This window comes from Homo sapiens, chromosome 8, assembly GCF_000001405.40.
Source record: "Homo sapiens chromosome 8, GRCh38.p14 Primary Assembly".
Lineage (NCBI taxonomy): Eukaryota > Metazoa > Chordata > Mammalia > Primates > Hominidae > Homo > Homo sapiens.
The window spans coordinates 5,442,580-5,461,698 of record NC_000008.11 but is presented as its reverse complement, the minus strand read 5'-3'; the positions used below and the strand labels follow the sequence as shown (position 1 = coordinate 5,461,698).

General features: G+C 37.5%; 1 annotated feature.

The window, feature by feature from the left end:
• Positions 6,569-7,768: an enhancer, noted in NCBI's record as "BRD4-independent group 4 enhancer chr8:5311453-5312652 (GRCh37/hg19 assembly coordinates)". NCBI's record gives its function as "activates an origin of replication core promoter dependent on BRD2, P300/CBP, MED14 and CDK7 cofactors, and independent of BRD4, by STARR-seq in HCT116 cells {active_cell/tissue: HCT116}" and the evidence as "EXISTENCE:reporter gene assay evidence [ECO:0000049][PMID:35650434]".

The window sequence follows — 19,119 nt, the reverse complement described above, 5'->3', positions numbered from 1 at the left end:
AAACAAACACCCCATCAAAAAGTGGGTGAAGGACATGAACAGACACCTCTCAAAAGAAGACATTTATACAGCCAAAAAACACATGGAAAAATGCTCACCATCACTGGCCATCAGAGAAATGCAAATCAAAACCACAGTGAGATACCATCTCACACCAGTTAGAATGGCAATCATTAAAAAGTCAGGAAACGACAGGTGCTGGAGAGGATGTGGAGAAATAGGAACACTTTGACACTGTTGCTGGGACTGTAAACTAGTTCAACCATTGTGGAAGTCAGTGTGGCGATTCCTCAGGGATCTAGAACTAGAAATACCATTTGACCCAGCCATCCCATTACTGGGTATATACCCAAAGGATAATAAATCATGCTGCTATAAAGACACATGCACACATATGTTTATTGTGGCATTACTCACAATAGCAAAGACTTGCAACCAACCCAAATGTCCAACAATGATAGACTGGATTAAGAAAATGTGGCACATATACACCATGTAATACTATGCAGCCATAAAAAAATGATGAGTTCACGTCCTTTGTAGGGACATGGATGAAATTGGAAATCATCATTCTCAGCAAACTATCGCAAGAGCAAAAAACCAAACACCACATATTCTCACTCGTAGGTGGGAATTGAACAATGAGAACACATGGACACAGAAAGGGGAACATCACACTCTGGGGACTGTCATGGGGTGGGGAGAGCGGGGAGGGATAGCATTGGGAGATATTCCTAATGCTAGATGACGAGTTAGTGGGTGCAGCACACCCGCTTGGCACATGTATACATGTGTAACTAACCTGCACATTGTGCACATGTAACCTAAAACTTAAAGTTTAATAATAATAAATTAAAAAAAAATAAATACACTGTTTCTGTTCAAACATTCACCTAACAATTTTAGCATCCATCAGTGAATTTTGCTTATGACACTTACTACTGTTGTATTCCAATGGTGATTTCTATTTCCCTAATTCCTGAAAAATTTATTCTAGTAATTATTACATTACTTACTTATATCAGAGTTCCATGACAATTAATTTTATTCTATGAATTAGAACCCAATGTTTTTGTTACTTAATTTGTTGCTCAAATTAATTTCGGCAATTGGAAGCTCTTTTCAATGGTTTTCATAATTTTATTGAACAGGTTTCTACCTTTTGGTATTTTGAGCAATTTCTTACTTTATGGTACTAGCGAATATTCCAGACACGTCTTTTGTTAAAATGGATTCGTCAGAAACTCATGCTTAATGTTTTTCTGTGACAAGACTTGATGTTTTTCTATGAAAATCTTGAATAAATATTTTAGTATAAATCATGGAATAAGAGTTAAATTGCTTTTAAATGTTTTCCTTCTGTAAACTTGTAATAAGTAGAGTACTGGAAACTTACTTTGTCCCGATGATAACTTTAAGTCTTCCAAGGCTATGGATGTTACCTATGAAGACAGGCCAGGCAGTAACGCTCCCTTACCATATGTGGTGAAGAGGAAACAAGATAAAGTTACTAATCTTCCCAAACTCCAGGGTATCTAAAAATTCTTGGGTAATGAAAGATTAAATTGATCAGGTAGCTATTCATTCACAACACTGGTGGACATTGAATAATGAGGTCAGGGAATTGAAAAGGGTCCCCTGATCCCAAGCAGATTGGGAGCTAAGAAGAGAACACATCAACTGAATCTTTACAAAATAGAATCGAAGCTTTAAAAGCTAGTAATTACAATTGGACATTTAAAAACATGTATTTATATTAGCATTAAAACATAACACACTTTGAGATAAAGTATTAGGAGTCAATGGCAGTTACGGGGGCTACGAGAAGAGGAGGATAAGGGGTTTTTGTATAATGGATACAGAATTCTCATTTTATAAGAGGAAAAAGAGTTCTGGAGCTAGGCAGGAGTGATGCCTGCACAACATTATGAATGTATTTACTCACGGTGAACTTTAAACTAAAAAATAGTTAAGATGGTAAATTTTATGGTATGAATATTTTACCACAACAAAAAAAAGTTTAAAAATGTTATGAATCAGAGTATTTCAAGGACTCATAAAACTATAAAGCATTGCTTAGAGAAATCAAAGAAACCCTACATAAATAGAGACATATATTGTGGTCTTGGATCAGAAGACTGGATATAGTTAAGAAATCATTTTCTCCCAATTTAGCTATATATTCAGTGCAACTCTAAGCAAAACTATCAGGTTCTTAAGAAAATTAACAAACTGTGAATCCATCTGGTCCTGGACTTTTTTTGGTTGGTAAGCTATTAATTATTGCCTCAATTTCAGAGCCTGTTATTGGTCTATTCAGATTCAACTTCTTTCTGGTTTAGTCTTGGGAGGGTGTATGTGTCGAGGAATTTATCCATTTCTTCTAGATTTTCTAGTTTATTTGCATAGAGGTGTTTGTAGTATTCTCTGATGGTAGTTTGTATTTCTGTGGGATCGGTGGTGATATCCCCTTTATGATTTTTTATTACAGCTATTTGATTCTTCTCTCTTTTCTTCTTTATTAGTATTGCTAGCGGTCTATCAATTTTGTTGATCTTTTCAAAAAACCAGCTCCTGGATTCATTGATTTTTTGAAGGGTTTTTTGTGTCTCTAGTTCCTTCAGTTCTGCTCTGATCTTAGTTATTTCTTGCCTTCTGCTAGCTTTTGAATGTGTTTGCTCTTGCTTCTCTAGTTCTTTTAATTGTGATGTTAGGGTGTCAATTTTAGATCTTTTCTGCTTTCTCTTGTGGGTATTTAGTGCTATAAATTTCCCTCTGCACACCTACAGAATGGGAGAAAATTTTCACAACCTACTCATCTGACAAAGGGCTAATATCCAGAATCTACAATGAACTCAAACAAATTTACAAGAAAAAAACAACCCCATCAACAAGTGGGTGAAGGATATGAACAGACACTTCTCAAAAGAAGACATTTATGCAGCCAAAAAAGACATGAAAAAATGCTCATCATCACCGGCCATCAGAGAAACGCAAATCAAAACCGCAATCAGATACCATCTAACACCAGTTAGAATGGCGATCATTAAAAAGTCACGAAACGACAGGTGCTGGAGAGGATGTGGAGAAATAGGAACACTTTTACACTGTTTGTTGGACTGTAAACTAGTTCAACCATTGTGGAAGTCAGTGTGGCGATTCCTCAGGGATCTGGAACTAGAAATACCATTTGACCCAGCCATCCCATTACTGGGTATACACCCAAAGGATTATAAATCATGCTGCTATAAAGACACATGCACACGTATGTTTATTGCGGCACTATTCACAATAGCAAAGACTTGGAACCAACCCAAATGTCCAACAATGATAGACTGGATTAAGAAAATGTGGCACATATACACCATGGAATACTATGCAGCCATAAAAAATGATGAGTTCACATCCTTTGTAGGGACATGGATGAAGATGGAAACCATTATTCTCAGCAAACTATTGCAAGGACAAAAAACAAAACACCGCATGTTCTCATTTATAGGTGGGAATTGAACAATGAATACACATGGACACGGGAAGAGGAACATCACACACAGGGGACTGCTGTAGGGTAGGGGGAGCGGGGAGGGATAGCATTAGGAGATATACCTAATGTTAAATGATGAGTTAAAGGGAGCAACACACCAACATGGCACATATATACATATGTAACAAACCTGCACGTTGTGCACATGTACCCTAAAACTTAAAGTATCAAAATAATAATAAAATTAAAAGAAAAGAAAATTAACAAACTAAGTATAAAATTTATATCTAAATGTAAATGATCTAGAATAATCAAAACATCTTTGAAAAAATGCAAAGTACGCGAACTGAACATAACGTGATTTTGAGATCTGTTATAAGGATAAGTTAATCAAGTCAGTGTTGTATTCGTGTAAACATAAACAAAATAAACCAATGGAACAGAAGAGAAAGTCCAGAAATAGACCAAAAGATACATGGACAACTGGTTTTTGATAAAGATAGAAAGGCAATCTATTAGAGAAAAGAAGGCCTTTTCTACAAATGATGCTGGATATCCATACACAAAAATATTAACTTCAGTTCTTTGTACTCTATAAAAATTATAACTTAAAGGAATCATAAGTTTAACTGCAAACCATAAAACCATAATTCTTCCATAATAAAACACAGGAGAATATTGTTTTGACCTTTTCAGGCAACTATTTCTTATATATGACACCAAAAGTAAGAATTCTGCTCTTTCGACAAAACTGTTAAGAGAGTGAAAGGAAAAGCCTCGGGATGGGAAATGGGATTTGCTAATATTGTATGTAATAAAAGGCTTAATTAGAATATAAAAAATCATGAAAATTCAATACTAAGAAAAAAAACCGCCCACTAAAAGAGGGCAAATGGTTTTAACAGACACTTCACCAAAGAGTACATATGGATGACATATCATTTTCTGAAAAAATCATCACAGTTTAACTTAAAATTTTACATCAAAGTACATTAACAGGCTTACAGTTTCCATTCTAAGTTGTAAAACCATGAAAGTCATCATCCCCCATTCTCACAACAGGAAAAAAGCCAAACTAACTGAAAATGAACAACTCTTCTTAGACCCATCAGAGAATCGGGGTCACAGGACAAACTACCTCCCTGAAAACCACGGGGTGGGAGACAGGTGAACATAGAGAATCAAAATTAACTGGAAGGAGAAGACACAGTTAGAGCCAGCAACTGCTAGAAACATTTAAACTGTAATTGACTAAGTGATGGAGGCTGAGCTGTTAACTAGCTGAGATTCAAACTCCCGGGGCTCAGGCTTTGGAGGGAGAGGCACCCACAACTTACTGAGTTTTACCTTCAGGGATTCCACTAGAGACTTAGGGTGAAGGCTGCAGAAAAATTCCTTCCTGCTTCTGGCAGGGTGGCAGGAAAACTAACCATTTTGAAATACTATTTTAAATTAATATTTTATCAGAACGTGCCTGACCTCGAGAAAAAAAAAAACAAAAAACTATCCAATGCCAGCCCAATTTGCTTTCAACATGGAGAAGAAAAATGTCCAACTCCAGCCTCAACTAGCCTGTTTGCCTCTTCTCAGGGAAGACTGGAGGTTGACATTGGGGAGTAGAAGCTGAGAGTGCTTGTGAGGTCACAGCCCTGGAACACATCTCACTGAAATAGTGAGATCTAACACAGGATTATACGATGTTCCCTTCTACCCACCCACCCACATTACCACCACTTTAACAGAGCTCCTGTGTAATGGCAGAAGAATACAACTTAAAGAACTGCAAGACTTAGACACTTCCCAAGGAGGAATATCTAGGGAAACCCACACACAAAAATGAGGGGTAAAAGATGCTAAAAGAAATTTTAGTCTCTGCCACCTACAATTATACCAAACAATAAAACAATCTAATTACCACTCAGATAAATGTAAGACCATCTGTTACATGTCTATTTACCTCAGCTCTTTTCACTATCTAAATGTCCTCCAGTGTTCAACAAAGAAATGCAAGGTATCCTCAAAAAACAGTGTAACGAGACAAACAGAAAATATCAAAACCAAACTCAGATATGGCAGAGATTTGGGGATTATCTGGCTTGGAATTTACAATTACCGTGCTCAACCTGTTAAGGGTTCTACTAGAAAAAGTGGGTGACATGCAACAGTAATGTAAGCAGACAGATGGAAATGTGAATAAGGAAACAAAACAAAATGCTAGAAACTGAAAATACCATAGCAGAAATAAACACTGTCTTTGATGGGCTCATCAGTAGACTTCACATATCTGAGGAGAAATCAGTGAGCTTGAAAATATATCAATAGAAATTTCCCACATTGAAAGGAAAATAGAAAAAAAAACTTTAAAAAAGAACAGAATAGCACATAAAAGTGGAGCAATCTTAAAAGGCATAACAAAACATATGATTAACAGGAAAAGTTGAAGAGGGAATGGAGAACAGTGCAAAAGAAATATTCAAAGTAATAATAGCCAAAAACTTTCTTAAATAAAAGACAGACACCACTAGGCCGGCCGAAGCCAGATGGTGAGCATAAAGTTCAATCCCTTCATCACCTTAGACCACAGCCAAAACTGCAAATGTCACTTCACTGGCCCCTCACATGTGCACAGGAACATCTTGCCGTCCCTGCTCTCCCAGCATGATATCCCAGCAAGGAGCTGAAGCAGAAGCACAGTGTCCACTCCATGCCCATCCTCAAGGATAAAGAGGTCCAGGTGGTTGGAAGACACTACAAAGGTCAGCAAATCAGCAAGGTGGTCCAGATGTACATAAATAAATGTCATCTACACGGAGTGGGTGCATTGTGAGAAGAACCAATGGGACCGCCGTCTTTGTGGGCATTCGCCCGAGCCAGGTGGTTATCACAGGCTAAAGCTGGACAAGAAATGGGAAAAAGTTCTTGAGTGCAAAGCCAAGTCTTGACAAGTCAGAAAAGAGAAAGGCAAACATAAGGAAGAACTTACTGCGAAAATACAGGAATGAATAGAACCTGCTGTGTGATGATGGTTTACCTGTAGAATTTTAGCCTAGTGCGTGTTTCTTTGGCACTTTTGAGATGTCTCTGGAACATTTCGTTTCCCTGTTTTGTTATTGATCTATGGCTCTAGATCAATAACAAATAGTTTAACAGACATTTCACCAAAGAGTACAAAGAGTGTCTGTTAAAACTCTAGATGTTGCAATTTTGATTAATAGTGTGATGAATAAAAATTGGAAATGTTTCCTAAGTCCAAGTGCTATTTGAATTGTTTTATAAATGAAATCCTCTATCCAAAACAAAAACAAAAACAAAAACTAAAACCGACACCAAACCACCCATACAGGAGGCTCAGAGAACATAATGTGGGGTAAGTAAAATCAATCAATCAGTAAAAAATGCCCAGACAGATCATATTCAAATTTTCGAAAACGAAACATCTTGAAAGCAGCCAGAAAAAAAGAGCATCTTAGCTAAGGAGAAACAAGGGTAAGAATTACAGAGAACCTCTTGTCAGAAACCATGCAACCAAAACAGTACGAGGTAAAATATTTAAAGTTTTGAAAGGGAGAAAAATTCACCTAAAACCTGTACCTTAAAAAATGAAGAGACCGGAAGACTTTACCTGACAAACAAAAATGGAGGAAATTTATGACCAAACCACCTTATTATGTGGCCATGGCAGGGGGCAGGATGGCGTTTTCTATAAAACTGAAATCCTAATAAATAGCTAGTGAGTAACGTGCAAATGGGCATGGTACTTACAGAAACTTGGGATGACTTCTCCAATGTTTACAATAACCGTATTGATTCAAAACATCGTCGTCAGTGCTAAGCTCCTGGAGACATTGGCGAGTACAGCCCTGAAGTCAGTAGGGACAGAAGCACGTGAATGAGTGTTGCTATGAGGTTTGAGATCTTCTGTAATATGGACAAGCACAGGAGGCTATAGAAGACTTCAGAGAAGATTCCTATTAGAGAAACTTTCCAGAGCCCTGAAATAAATGACGTGTCTGACTTTTCTCAGAGAGCATTTCAGGGAACAGCATATTTGTAGAAACGCCTAGAGGCAAAAGAGAGCTTGACAGATCCTTCAAGAAACTCAGGGTAGGACATCTGACTTTCACAGTGGAGAGCTGGTGGGTTCTAGCTGGAGGTAAGAAACATAGATGAAAGATTTTTAGTGAAAGCTGAATAGGTCAGTCCTGGCCATGCTGAATTCAGGGCCTAGGTAGAACCCAATGGTGAGGGAGCTTGGCAGGGAGTCTGATCCACAGGTACAGAAGCCTGGGGCAAGGGATGGGTTAGGCGCACAGACCTGAGATTAAGTAGCATAGACAGACAGGATGGGAGTGGTTGATGTCAGAAAAATCAGTGAAAACAAAAAGAGGAAAAGAAGATGGAGTTTTGCTGAGAGCCAAAAAACAGCACTGCCTCTTCATTTGCTGTATGATGGCTAAATCCATGAGGTGACATATCTGTGCCATTAGGGTTTTTCATAGGAGACAGGAGAGGTTTCTGGAGAAAAATATAAAAGCACCTTCAGGAAAATCTTAATTTAAGGTATACTTTGTACCCGTAAAATAAAATGTTTCTTTGTTACTGCATCAACTAACACTGCTGGGCAGTTTTTCCACAGATCTTGAGGACCTGATTTGAAACACAAGCTATATGACATCATCTTAATTCCACGTGGGTGACCTTGAGGATCCAGAATGGGAGAACTGGAGAATGCAGCTGACACAGAGCTACAATGGAAGCCAGTGAGATCTGGACAGAGAAAAATCCTCCCATGAGCCTAACAGTTTCTGGACTCAGACAACAATCCTCTTTTCACATCAGAAGACACAAATATGATCCACAAAATGTGCAGATACCTGGGAGAGAAGCCACTGAGTGCTGCAGGGACATTTCTGCAACAGAAATTCATATGTGGAGTGAAGATCAGTTACTTATCCAAGCAATGTTGGGTACGCCACCTAGTACTGTAGAACTGTTATATTCAAGGAATCATCAGTCTTTGATCTTAAGGACTTCAATTAATGGGATAAGGGCCACTCACATTATGGAGGGGAACCTGCTTTCCTAATTCAACGGATCACATATGTTCATCATATCCACAAATATCTTCACGGCAACATTCACCTTAGTGTTTGACCAAACTATCTGGCATCATAGCTTAGCCAAGTCTGTTGATAAATTTATCCATCACAAATACAACCCACAAGGTAGCACTTAGCATATTTTCCTAACTAGTGAATTCTTGGTTTAAAGTGTAGTCTGAAAAATACTGGTATACATGGCTAACTTTGTTGATAATTTCCACGTTAATACGCAACCAGAAATAAGGCTTACCCATTCCAAACAACTCACAGAGATTTTAAAACTCTAATAATGGCAATAATATTACTAAAGATAAATTAAATCTCATTTTTGGAGCTTAAGCTCATAAGAAACATCTTACACTACAGACAGTTCATCTTCCACACGTTTTTGTGTGATTTTGTCACCTATCATGTTTTTATGTATGATTATCAGCCTACAGCAGGATAAAGGACTCACTGGGTAAGTATATATAATAATTTATTCCAAATTTCAGCCAGTAATGAGAGAAACCCAACAATGCTTTACAAACTAATTCATATTTTTCTGATAATATTTAATAAATATTCATCTCAGTTTAGCATCAACTATGGCTGGCCTGTGAATGTGTACTGAAAAAGATAATGAACATTTTATCAGGATTAAATGTATGTAGCTTCTCTTTTATGATGGAAATTTGAACTTCCTTTTAATTCTAAGGAATAAAAGACAGTGTTGGGCATTATAGATACTATTGTTTATATATAATCTGTATGTACTTATCATAATATTTTATGTTTGACTGTAAACTGGTCAGAATAATTGAATTAGAAAAAGAACAAAAAAGCTTCTATTATTAGGCATGGTCCAAACATATATGAACATGAGTATTATTTTCATCCATTCTGCAGTCTGATTAAGGAGCTTGGAGACATTTCAGGTCTTTAGGAATAACCATTCTTCTTCCAAATACTGCTTAGGGGTTGTGTAGATTCTTCAATGAATTCCATGTTAGAGGTTGAATTGTGTTCACCTGAAATTCACATATCGAAGTCTTCAGATCATGATTGTGTTTAAGATAGGGTCTTTGAAGAGATTATTAAATTAAATGAGGTCATTAGAGTGGGCGCTAATCCAATAGGTCTGGTGGAAAAGACCTAAGGAGAGGAGACTAGAATACAGAGAAACACAGAGGGACGACCATGTCAGGACATAGGGAGAAGATGGTCATCTACAAGCCAAGGAGAGAGGGCTCCAGAGAAACCAACCTTGCTGACAGATACCTTGTATAGGTTTTGTGTGTGAGAGAGATACTTTGTTATGGCAGCCCCAGGAAAGAGCTGAAGTCCATATCTACAAGTGAGCATGGATTTATCCATCTAAGGATTTCAACTTTCCCATTTTAAACATGTCCATAATATAATTCTGCAACTTGCAGATATTAAGTTTTTGTCTACGTGTTGCAGAAGAACAAACTGAGGCAAAAACACAACCGAATGATTACTTCCGCATGCACAGAGAACAGGGGAGCTGGCGCAGGAGCACTGGTTCCTCTCCAACACACAGATGTCCAAGGGGCTTGATATATTATTTGCAGGTGGCCCCATACCATTTTCAGTCAAGGGAAATACATTAAAACATACAGTTTTTTTTTCAGTCGGTCATGGGGGATTGTCACGCAAATGGCAATATTTTAGACTTTCACAATGCCTTCCATGAACACGTTCATTTGGGTAACAATGGGAATAGTTTATACTATTTTAGAGTTTTAGAACTACAAAGACAACTAAGATAGCTTTTCAGAATTCTAAATATCACATATAAGGGCATGGAAAAAGTTAATTCACATTTTGGGGGATACACAGCTCGTTAGTGCTGCAAACAATGGCAGAAGATAAATCTGGAGTGACAATCTGATACTCTATAATGCAGCTTAGGTCATGGATTACCTCCTGTGCTAGCAAATATCATCACCATGCTAATTGTTCTCGAATATTATGCATCAGAATCACTTGCAGGATTTGTTAAAATCATAGAATTTAGGGCCTTATCCCAAGAATCTCTGTTTTAGCACATCTGGGTTGGGGCTTGATAGTTTGCATTTTCCTAAGTTTCCAGGTCATGCCGATGCTATTGAGCCGGAGACCACCCTTTGGAACCACCTCTTATACTATGTTCATTTTATAATACACATCATCATTTCTTCTTGCTTATGCACCCAAACCCTCTAACATCATAATTGTCTCCTATCAACCTCACAACCACTCACATTTGCAACTGTAAATAGGCAGGCCTGGCTTTGACGCAGGGAACAACGCTTTCTTGTAAGACAAACATCGTCAGTAATGGATGTGCGCACTCTGTCTTCACCCCAACACTACTTTCAAGGTCTCCTATGAGGTGAGGTATCCTTCATTCATCTGTTGAACAGCAAATCTTTTGGATTCATATTTTATTGTAGATGCAAACAAACAATACAAGATGATAATTGTTGTAACAGAAAAATGTGAAGAGTGTCAAATAAGCAAAGAAGGTAAAACAGAAGTCTTGAAGTTCAAAGACTGGAGTAGCACTTGACATTATGCTTAGGGAATGGAGAATGGGTGGGGTTTCCATAGGTTGACAAATTGAGAAGGAAATTTGTGAATAAAATGCCTAAAATGTAATTTAGTGGTTCATTTCACTCATTTACTCATTCATTTATTCATTCAGCAGATCTATTGACTCCCCCGGCCAAATTTTCACTAGATAACAAACTCTAAGGCATTAGGCATGAAAAATAACTGAGCACATATTTCCGCTTTCAGTGACAGGGCAAACAGCATTGTGAGTGTTTTAATGGTAATGTGGCCAGATTTCCTTTAGAACACTGTGGAAGAGTGATTAATTTGTCCTGAGGAAATTGGCATATCTTCCTAGGAGGGAAGAGTTAGTTGGAGAATATACTACCTTGGCTTTAAATCATTAACTATATTTACAATCGGAGTATGTAGCTAACATGAGCTAATTTTGCAACAAATAAATTCACACATGTATTAGGACTCAAATGAAATCTCATGGTTATTCTTGTTAGACAACACTAAGCTTTCTCTGCCAGGGTGATACATGGATCCAGGCTCCTTCCATGGTGTAGTTCTGGGGGCCTTCTGGCCCTTCACACCACCTGTGTCCACCCAGCAGAATGAGAAATGACAATTTAGAGCGGCAGTGGCAGGTGCCTATGAGCTGTTCGGTTCTTCTGCTCACCTTACGTTAACTAGAAATCAGTCGTGTGGCTACAATGAACTGTAAGAGAGAATTGGAAATGTAGTGTAGTTGATCCAGGGAGAAGAAGAAATCCAGGATTTGAGAAAAGGATACTTGGTATAATAGTAGGTGCAAATGCATGGAGTTACAAGGAAAGCTTCCAAAACAACAATTTCCTTAATTACAGCTCAGCTGTTTGCTGGGCAAGCTGTGCAACAATTACATCACCAAGAATTAGAAGTGCAGCTAAGTAGAGTGACTTAGGTTATGCATTTTAGATTAATTCTAAGTGTAAGGAATAATTATTCAACACACTGTATGCTAATGAGTTATTGTTGGTCTTAGAAATCTCATGAACAAAGTTATATTTTATAAGCAATTTCAGGACATATTTGTCATCATTTGATACAGCAGCAACCCTAACCCAGACCTTACATGAATCTACTGAATGTAGTCTGTGCACTTGTGGGGAAATGGAAAGCAAGCATGTTAAGTGATGTCCCTAAAGTCACACAACCAGATAGAGCCAGATGTGGAATTTAACCCACATTCCTTGAACTCTGATGATTTTTCTTTCTACCATGTTAGAAGTTACAGAGAGGCTTTACAGAACCCACAGAAGCTAGAAGCAGAGATGGGCACTAAGTCTGCATTTTCCTACAGGAATTTTCCTAGTTGGTGCTGGGTTTTGCTCAAGAGTCAGAGGTATCTGATATTTGTAAGATTTTCTTTAAATAAAGATGCACAGACTGTTAGTGGAAGATTTTGCAAAAAGGTAATGAAAATCCTGTGAGTGAAAGGCATTGATGGAGAAACAGGTTTTCCAAATCTAGTGGGACTTTACCATAATGTCACTGGCAGCTGCAGACCCATAGGAATCTCAGGGGACCCAGCCAGAGCCATATGCTGGCACCTGTTCCTGTCCTGAGGGAGCCCAGTGTTCCAATGAAATTTTGATTTCTTGGCTGATTATGTAAAATTAACATGTGTATTTGTGGTAGTAATATATATTAACTGAATAGTAAACGTTAGTAAGACTGGCATATACATATATACAGAAATGGTTCCAAATGCAACTATCTGTATCTATATTAAGCTCTATATGAGTTCATAGCGAGGTCTGCAACTTGAATCTGTACCTCATGCACCACTGTAACCTCCTCTCATTGCTTGTATGTAACCTCCCACTGCAACAGTAGGAAACCAGGCTCCCATAATCCACTACTCATTTACTTAATTGTTTACTACCAGTATAAATTTAGACTGGTTTTAGAATTGTTTATACATATCCCCAGGCTGGACATGGAGACTCACACCTGTAATCTCAGCACTTAGGGAGGCCAAGGCAGGTGGATCCCTTGGGTCCAGGAGTTCAAGACCAGCCTGGGTGACATGGAGAAATCCTGTCTCTACAAAAAAATACCAAAATTAGCTGGGCATGGTTTTGCATGCCTACAGTTCCAGCTACTCAGGAGGCTGAGGCAGGAGGATCAATTGAGCCTGGGAGTTGGAGGTGGCAGTGAGTTGAGACTGCATCACTGCACTCCAGCCTGGGCGACAGAGTGAGACCCCACCTCAAAAGAGAAAAAAAATACATATTCCCACTTTGGAAAACAAATTACTCTAAATGTTGAATGCACTAAAGTGTACTCTATTTATTTATTTTCACAGTCTTGCTCCATTGCCCAGGCTGGAGTGCAGTGGTGCGATCTCAGCTCACTGCAACCTCCACCTCCTGGATTCAAGCAATTCTCCTGTCCCAGCCTCCCAAGTAGCTGGAACTACAGGCGCCTGCCACCACGCCCTGCTAATTTTTGTATTTTTAGTAGAGACAGGGTTTTACCTTGTTTATCAGGCTGGTCTCGAACTCCTGACCTCAGGTAATCCACCCACTTCAGCCTCCCAAACTGCTGGGATTACAGGCGTGAGCCACCGAACCCGGCCTAAAGTTTACTCTTTATGCCGTAAAGTTCTATGGGTTTGACAAAAGTGTCACGTGGCCACGATCATTGTTTCACATAGCCCTTACATTTCCCCTGTGTCTCACCTAGTCAGCCTTCCCTCATACAAAAAATGGAACCTTGGCAACACTGATGTGCTTAGCATGTATCTACAGTTTGCCTCTTCTAGAATGTCATGTAAATGAGATATGGACAATACAGCATCTCACACTGCCTTCGCTAACTCAGCAATGCACATAGGAAGTTCATTCACGCCTTATTGTGTAAGGTACTTCAGGACTCCAATTTACTTATCCTTTCACCTATTGAAGGGCCTCTTAGATGCTTCCAATTTGGGGCAATCATACAATAAACTGCCAGAAACAGTTACATCCTATTTTTTAAGCGGACATAAGTTTACAAATCATTGGAGTAAATATCTGAGAATGCAACTAATGTGTAGTATGGTGACAGTATGCTTAGCTTTACAAGAAACTGTCAAGTTATCTTCCAAGGTACTGTAAGAGTTTGCATTCCCACCAGCAATGAATGAGAGAGTCCCTATTGTTTCATATCCTTATCAGTAGTTGGTATTGTCAAGATTTCTGGTTTGAAGTAATTAATAGATGTGTAATAGCATCTCATTGTTGTGCTAATTTGCATTTCCCTGATGACAAATAATGTTAAGCTTCTTTCCATGCTTGTTTGCAATCTCTGTATCTTGTTTGGGGAGGTGTCCATTTAGATGGTTTGCCTACTTTTTAATTGAGTTTGTTTTCTTATTGTTGAATTTGAAAAGTATTTCTTTGCATATTTTAGATAAAAGTCCTTCATCAGATATATGTATTGAAAATATTTCTTCCATTGTGTGGCTTTTGTTTAGATTCTCTTAATAGTGTCTTTTATAAACAAGTTTTTGTTTTAATAAAGTCCAAAGCAACATTTTTAAAAATTTCATTAATGGTTCTTTCAGTATGAATCTAAAAGCTCAGAACAAAATTCAAAGCCATTTGTATTTTTTCCTACATTTTGTTCAAGAAGTTTTAGACCTTTGCACTTTAATCATAGGTGTGTGAGATAGGTGATGTCAATTTTTTTTGAAAGGTTTAAGGTCTCTGTATAGGCTCTCTTTCTTCTTTTTTTAAAACTATAAACACACTAATCTTTCCAGCACCATTTGTTGAGAGGACTTTCCTTTCTTCATTGAATTGCCTTTGTGCTTTTTTTTTCCAAAGATCCGTTCACTATATTTTGTGAGTCTATTTTTAGATTGCATTTTGTGTTTCATTGATCCATGTACCTATTCTTTCACCAATACCTTACTGTCTTGATTAATGTAGCTTTACAGTAAGTCTTGAAATTTATTAGTGTTGGTCCTTCAACTTTGTTCTTCTTCAGTATCATGCTTGTTATTCTAGAGTTTTGCCTTTCTATTTAAACGCTGGTGTCAGTTTGTCGATATCTACAAAATAGCATGCCAGGGTTTTGACTGGCATTGCCTTGGATCTATATATTAATTTCGGAAAAATGAACATCTAAATGATATCAAATGTTTCAGTCCATGACCAGGGAATATCTCTCCAGTTATTTAAATCTTCTTTGATTTCTTTCATTAACGTCTTATATCATTGACTTTTAAAAATTACAATTCTTAATTAAACAGCCAAATTTTAAGGGTTTTTCACATGCTTTCCTAAAATAGATAAAGCAATCTTCAGGATAATATTGAAATAAAAACACCCATCTAGCCAGCATTGGCTGCCTTAATTATAAATCTTCAAATGTCATCCTAATATTGGTTTATTTCAAATTGGCTAGCTGTGTTAGCTCAGTTCCTGCAGAAAGCAGAGTCAAGACAGAGATTAACATGCTAACACTTCACTTAGGTGCAAACTCAGGAAAGCATAAAGAGAAAATCAAAGTGAGGCGAAGAAAGATGCACATGAATTCGATCTGTTTTCAGGCTAGGCATTGTTTCAAAACAGTCCTCCAAGAGTCTCAGCAAGTCTTCACATAGGACTTTTGCTTGAAAGCTACATGGAGTTCTACCTTTGAGTGACTCACAGGAGAGAGAAAAATGAGGGAGTTTATCTGCCCAAGGTTTTTCTAACGTCTATTTCTCCTTGAGCAGGGTCCCCCATGGGAAGCCAACTCTTCCGCAACTCCCCTTTATGTCAGCCAGTGTGTCAGCAGCTGAAGAATGCAAACGGAACCCCTCAAGCTGAAGTGCTTTCACAAAACCCTAAAGTGCAGTGATTGCGCTGCAAAGGTTAGACACCAACCAAAAGAGAGAAAGAAAAAGACAGTTGAGAGAGTCTGACCCAGCACACAGGGGTCATTTCCCAACACATCCCTCAAGGCTAAAACATACTTGCAGCATACTTCAGAGATTAAAGAGGAGTTTGCAGAAGTTGTTGAAATTTCTTTTATTCAACAGTATCTTCATCCCCTAACTTAAAGTGTCCTTGTTCTGGCTTCCAGTACCTACAAATGCCATTGGCTCTACTTGTGCTCTTGGCCTTCAAATGCCCTTCCTCTGTACCCAGGAACACGGCTGTGCTCATTTTTTTCTTTTCACATGCATAGGATGTAACTTTCCTTATTTCTCCCCCACATGATAACTTGCTTTTCTAAATGAGTTTTAGGTTAAATAAATAAAGAAGTTTTGAAAAGTTTGAGTTAAAAATGAAAATTTTAACTGCTGCAGCATATGCTTTCCCGAAGTGGGTAAATTATTTGAGAAGAAATGTAAAATGACTTTCCATAGTGTCCTAAGGCATGGTGACATTACCTAAAATAATTTACCCATGTTCCTTTCATACGAGAAGTAGAACTGCATCATAAGGACAAACATAACCATTACAGTGAGCTTAAGAAGAAGACAGATGAGAGGTGAGACGGTGGTGCAAAGAGACTGTGGATATGTTGGGCTCTTATGTGGGTTAATTGATAGGGTCCCTTTTTTTTCTATTTTTACTTTAATTTCTGGAGCTTTTATTTTCTTAAATATGGATCTTTAAGAGTTATTGTGTGTGACATCAAAGTCAGACAACAAACATTTTGCATTAGACCTTATAGTAGCTCTGAGAAAGAGAGAACAAGCCACACAGCAATTTGTAAGGTCCGCTTAGCTCCATTTGAAGACTGGACCCATGGTCCCAACTGGGAACAGGAGCTCCTCCTCTAACTTTAGTGGAGCTGTGGAGCAGGCAGGCGAGGAGGAGAAAAAAATACCAAGAAGCTTTTCCACCACTGCCTTGTTCTCTATTCAGTGTTTGCTGTAGGTCTTCGACTGTTTCTCAGAGCTCTGACAAGGTGAGTTCTGACAGTTTCTTCTTGTTTTTTAAAATGTCTTTGTGGGGGCCAGGAGCTTGAAGCAGCTTATCTCACTATTTTGCTGACATCATTCCTCATTCTTAATTCATTTTTAGATTCGGTCAATTTTAATGAGAACTAATATTTTTATGGAGATAGAACAAAGGTCTATTAAGAAAAAATGTGATTTTTCTCCTAAATTGAAATTAAAATTGAACAAATTGAATATTCATCTGGAGGTTCACAACAGCATTCCACTTACTTCCCTTATTAGTTTCCATGCCATTTTTACTGATTTCTTTCAAGATAGCTTATATGATACTTTTAATATCTCATTTCAGTTAAGAATTATAATCTAATATTATAAAAATTCTCTTGTATCATTTTAACTTTATAACTCTATATTATAAAATATATAATAGTATATGAAAACAGTTAAAATATAATTTTATTAATATTTTCTTATTTAATATTAGTATTATTTCCAAATATTATTGATGCACCATTTTTAGTCTTCATTGATCAAAACTCATGAACAAGTAAAAAATATTGGACATAAGAGAAGAGAAATGTCTTAAAAGTGGCAATGCATTAAGAATATGATAAATATCCTATCAGGGAAGCAGGGCCCTCACATCTACCACCCAACCTGAGGCTATTTATTTTACATTTCCTATTATAAGGTGATGGCATGTTTCAATAAAACTTTCCAAAATATAAAAAAGTACAAACATAAGATTCAGGTTTTAACATAAATGGTTAAAAATTAAAAATCGTTCTCCCTTTTCTTCTCTTCAAAAGCAAGAGGAGTGAGAAACCATTCTGCCCAAGGGAGGCACAGCCTGTGTTTGTCAGACACATTACAGGGAGGGACACTGAGACCCATGAGGACAAATCAGCACGCAGGAAGAAACAGACCATGATCTGTGGTTACAAACATAGAAATCCAGCAAAGGAGTCTCCTCCAACACAGGTGTGACACCTGAGTAGCAGCCTCGGTAATAACTATGCCATGGAGATCCACTGGCTGGCAGGGGACTCTTCTTAAGACTTGCTAGCCAGCAACGCAGCTTTGCCCTCTTCACTCAGTTTTTTTTTTTTTAAAAAAAAAAACAAAACAAAACAGCTCAATCAAGAAATACTAAGGAATAGCGGAAATAACAATTGCAAAAATGAGTCTAGGATGACTACAAACAAAAATCCACAAATATTAAAAATTTAAAAATCTAAAGAAAAGAAAGAATAAGCAAACCAAAGGGGAAAATAACACGAGAAATGCATGGCAGCCAAAAGCACTCTATTGGCAACTCTTTCCAGAAAGTAGATTCCAATTATATTCCTATTCATTAAGGAATAGAAACCTAAAGCAACCACTTTCATAAAATAAAAGAAGGATAAGAAATGCAACCGCTTAGGTAAGTCATGGTTGACAAAAGAAAGTGAAACATGACTGGCAGTGTACAGGAAAAGGTGGAAAAAATACAACTATATGTGGAATGAAAGTCACATTGAAAGCTAAACAAACAATATTGCTGAGAACACAGGAAGAAGAAAGGATACGGAAACAAAAGAACAACAAATTAAACACAAATACTTTATAAATATTGTAAATAAATTACACATATGAAGATAGACCAAGGATATTCAGCATATACAAGGATACCAGCATATCTGGTGTTCACTGAATGAAGACTTAAGGTCATCGCAAAAAATACATGTGATTATAATTAAAAAAACATTTTTAAAGAAATAAAACAATACTTCATAGCACACATTGAAAAGGCACACTGTATTCCCTCTAAGAACAACGTGAAGATATTCTATTAAAGGTGCTGCATGCTAGAACTAAAGAAAAAAAATATTTGGGGGCTCAACACAAAAAGAATAATTAACTTAAAAGGGTCAAATACTACGGTGGCTTCACATTCTTGACAGCACCTTCAATTCTTGAAGAGTAACATTGCATCCAACAACATCGAGAAAAGTGTCACTCAATAGTTTTATAGTCAATTTGGCATTCACTTATAATAGACCTACCACTAAATACGAAATAAT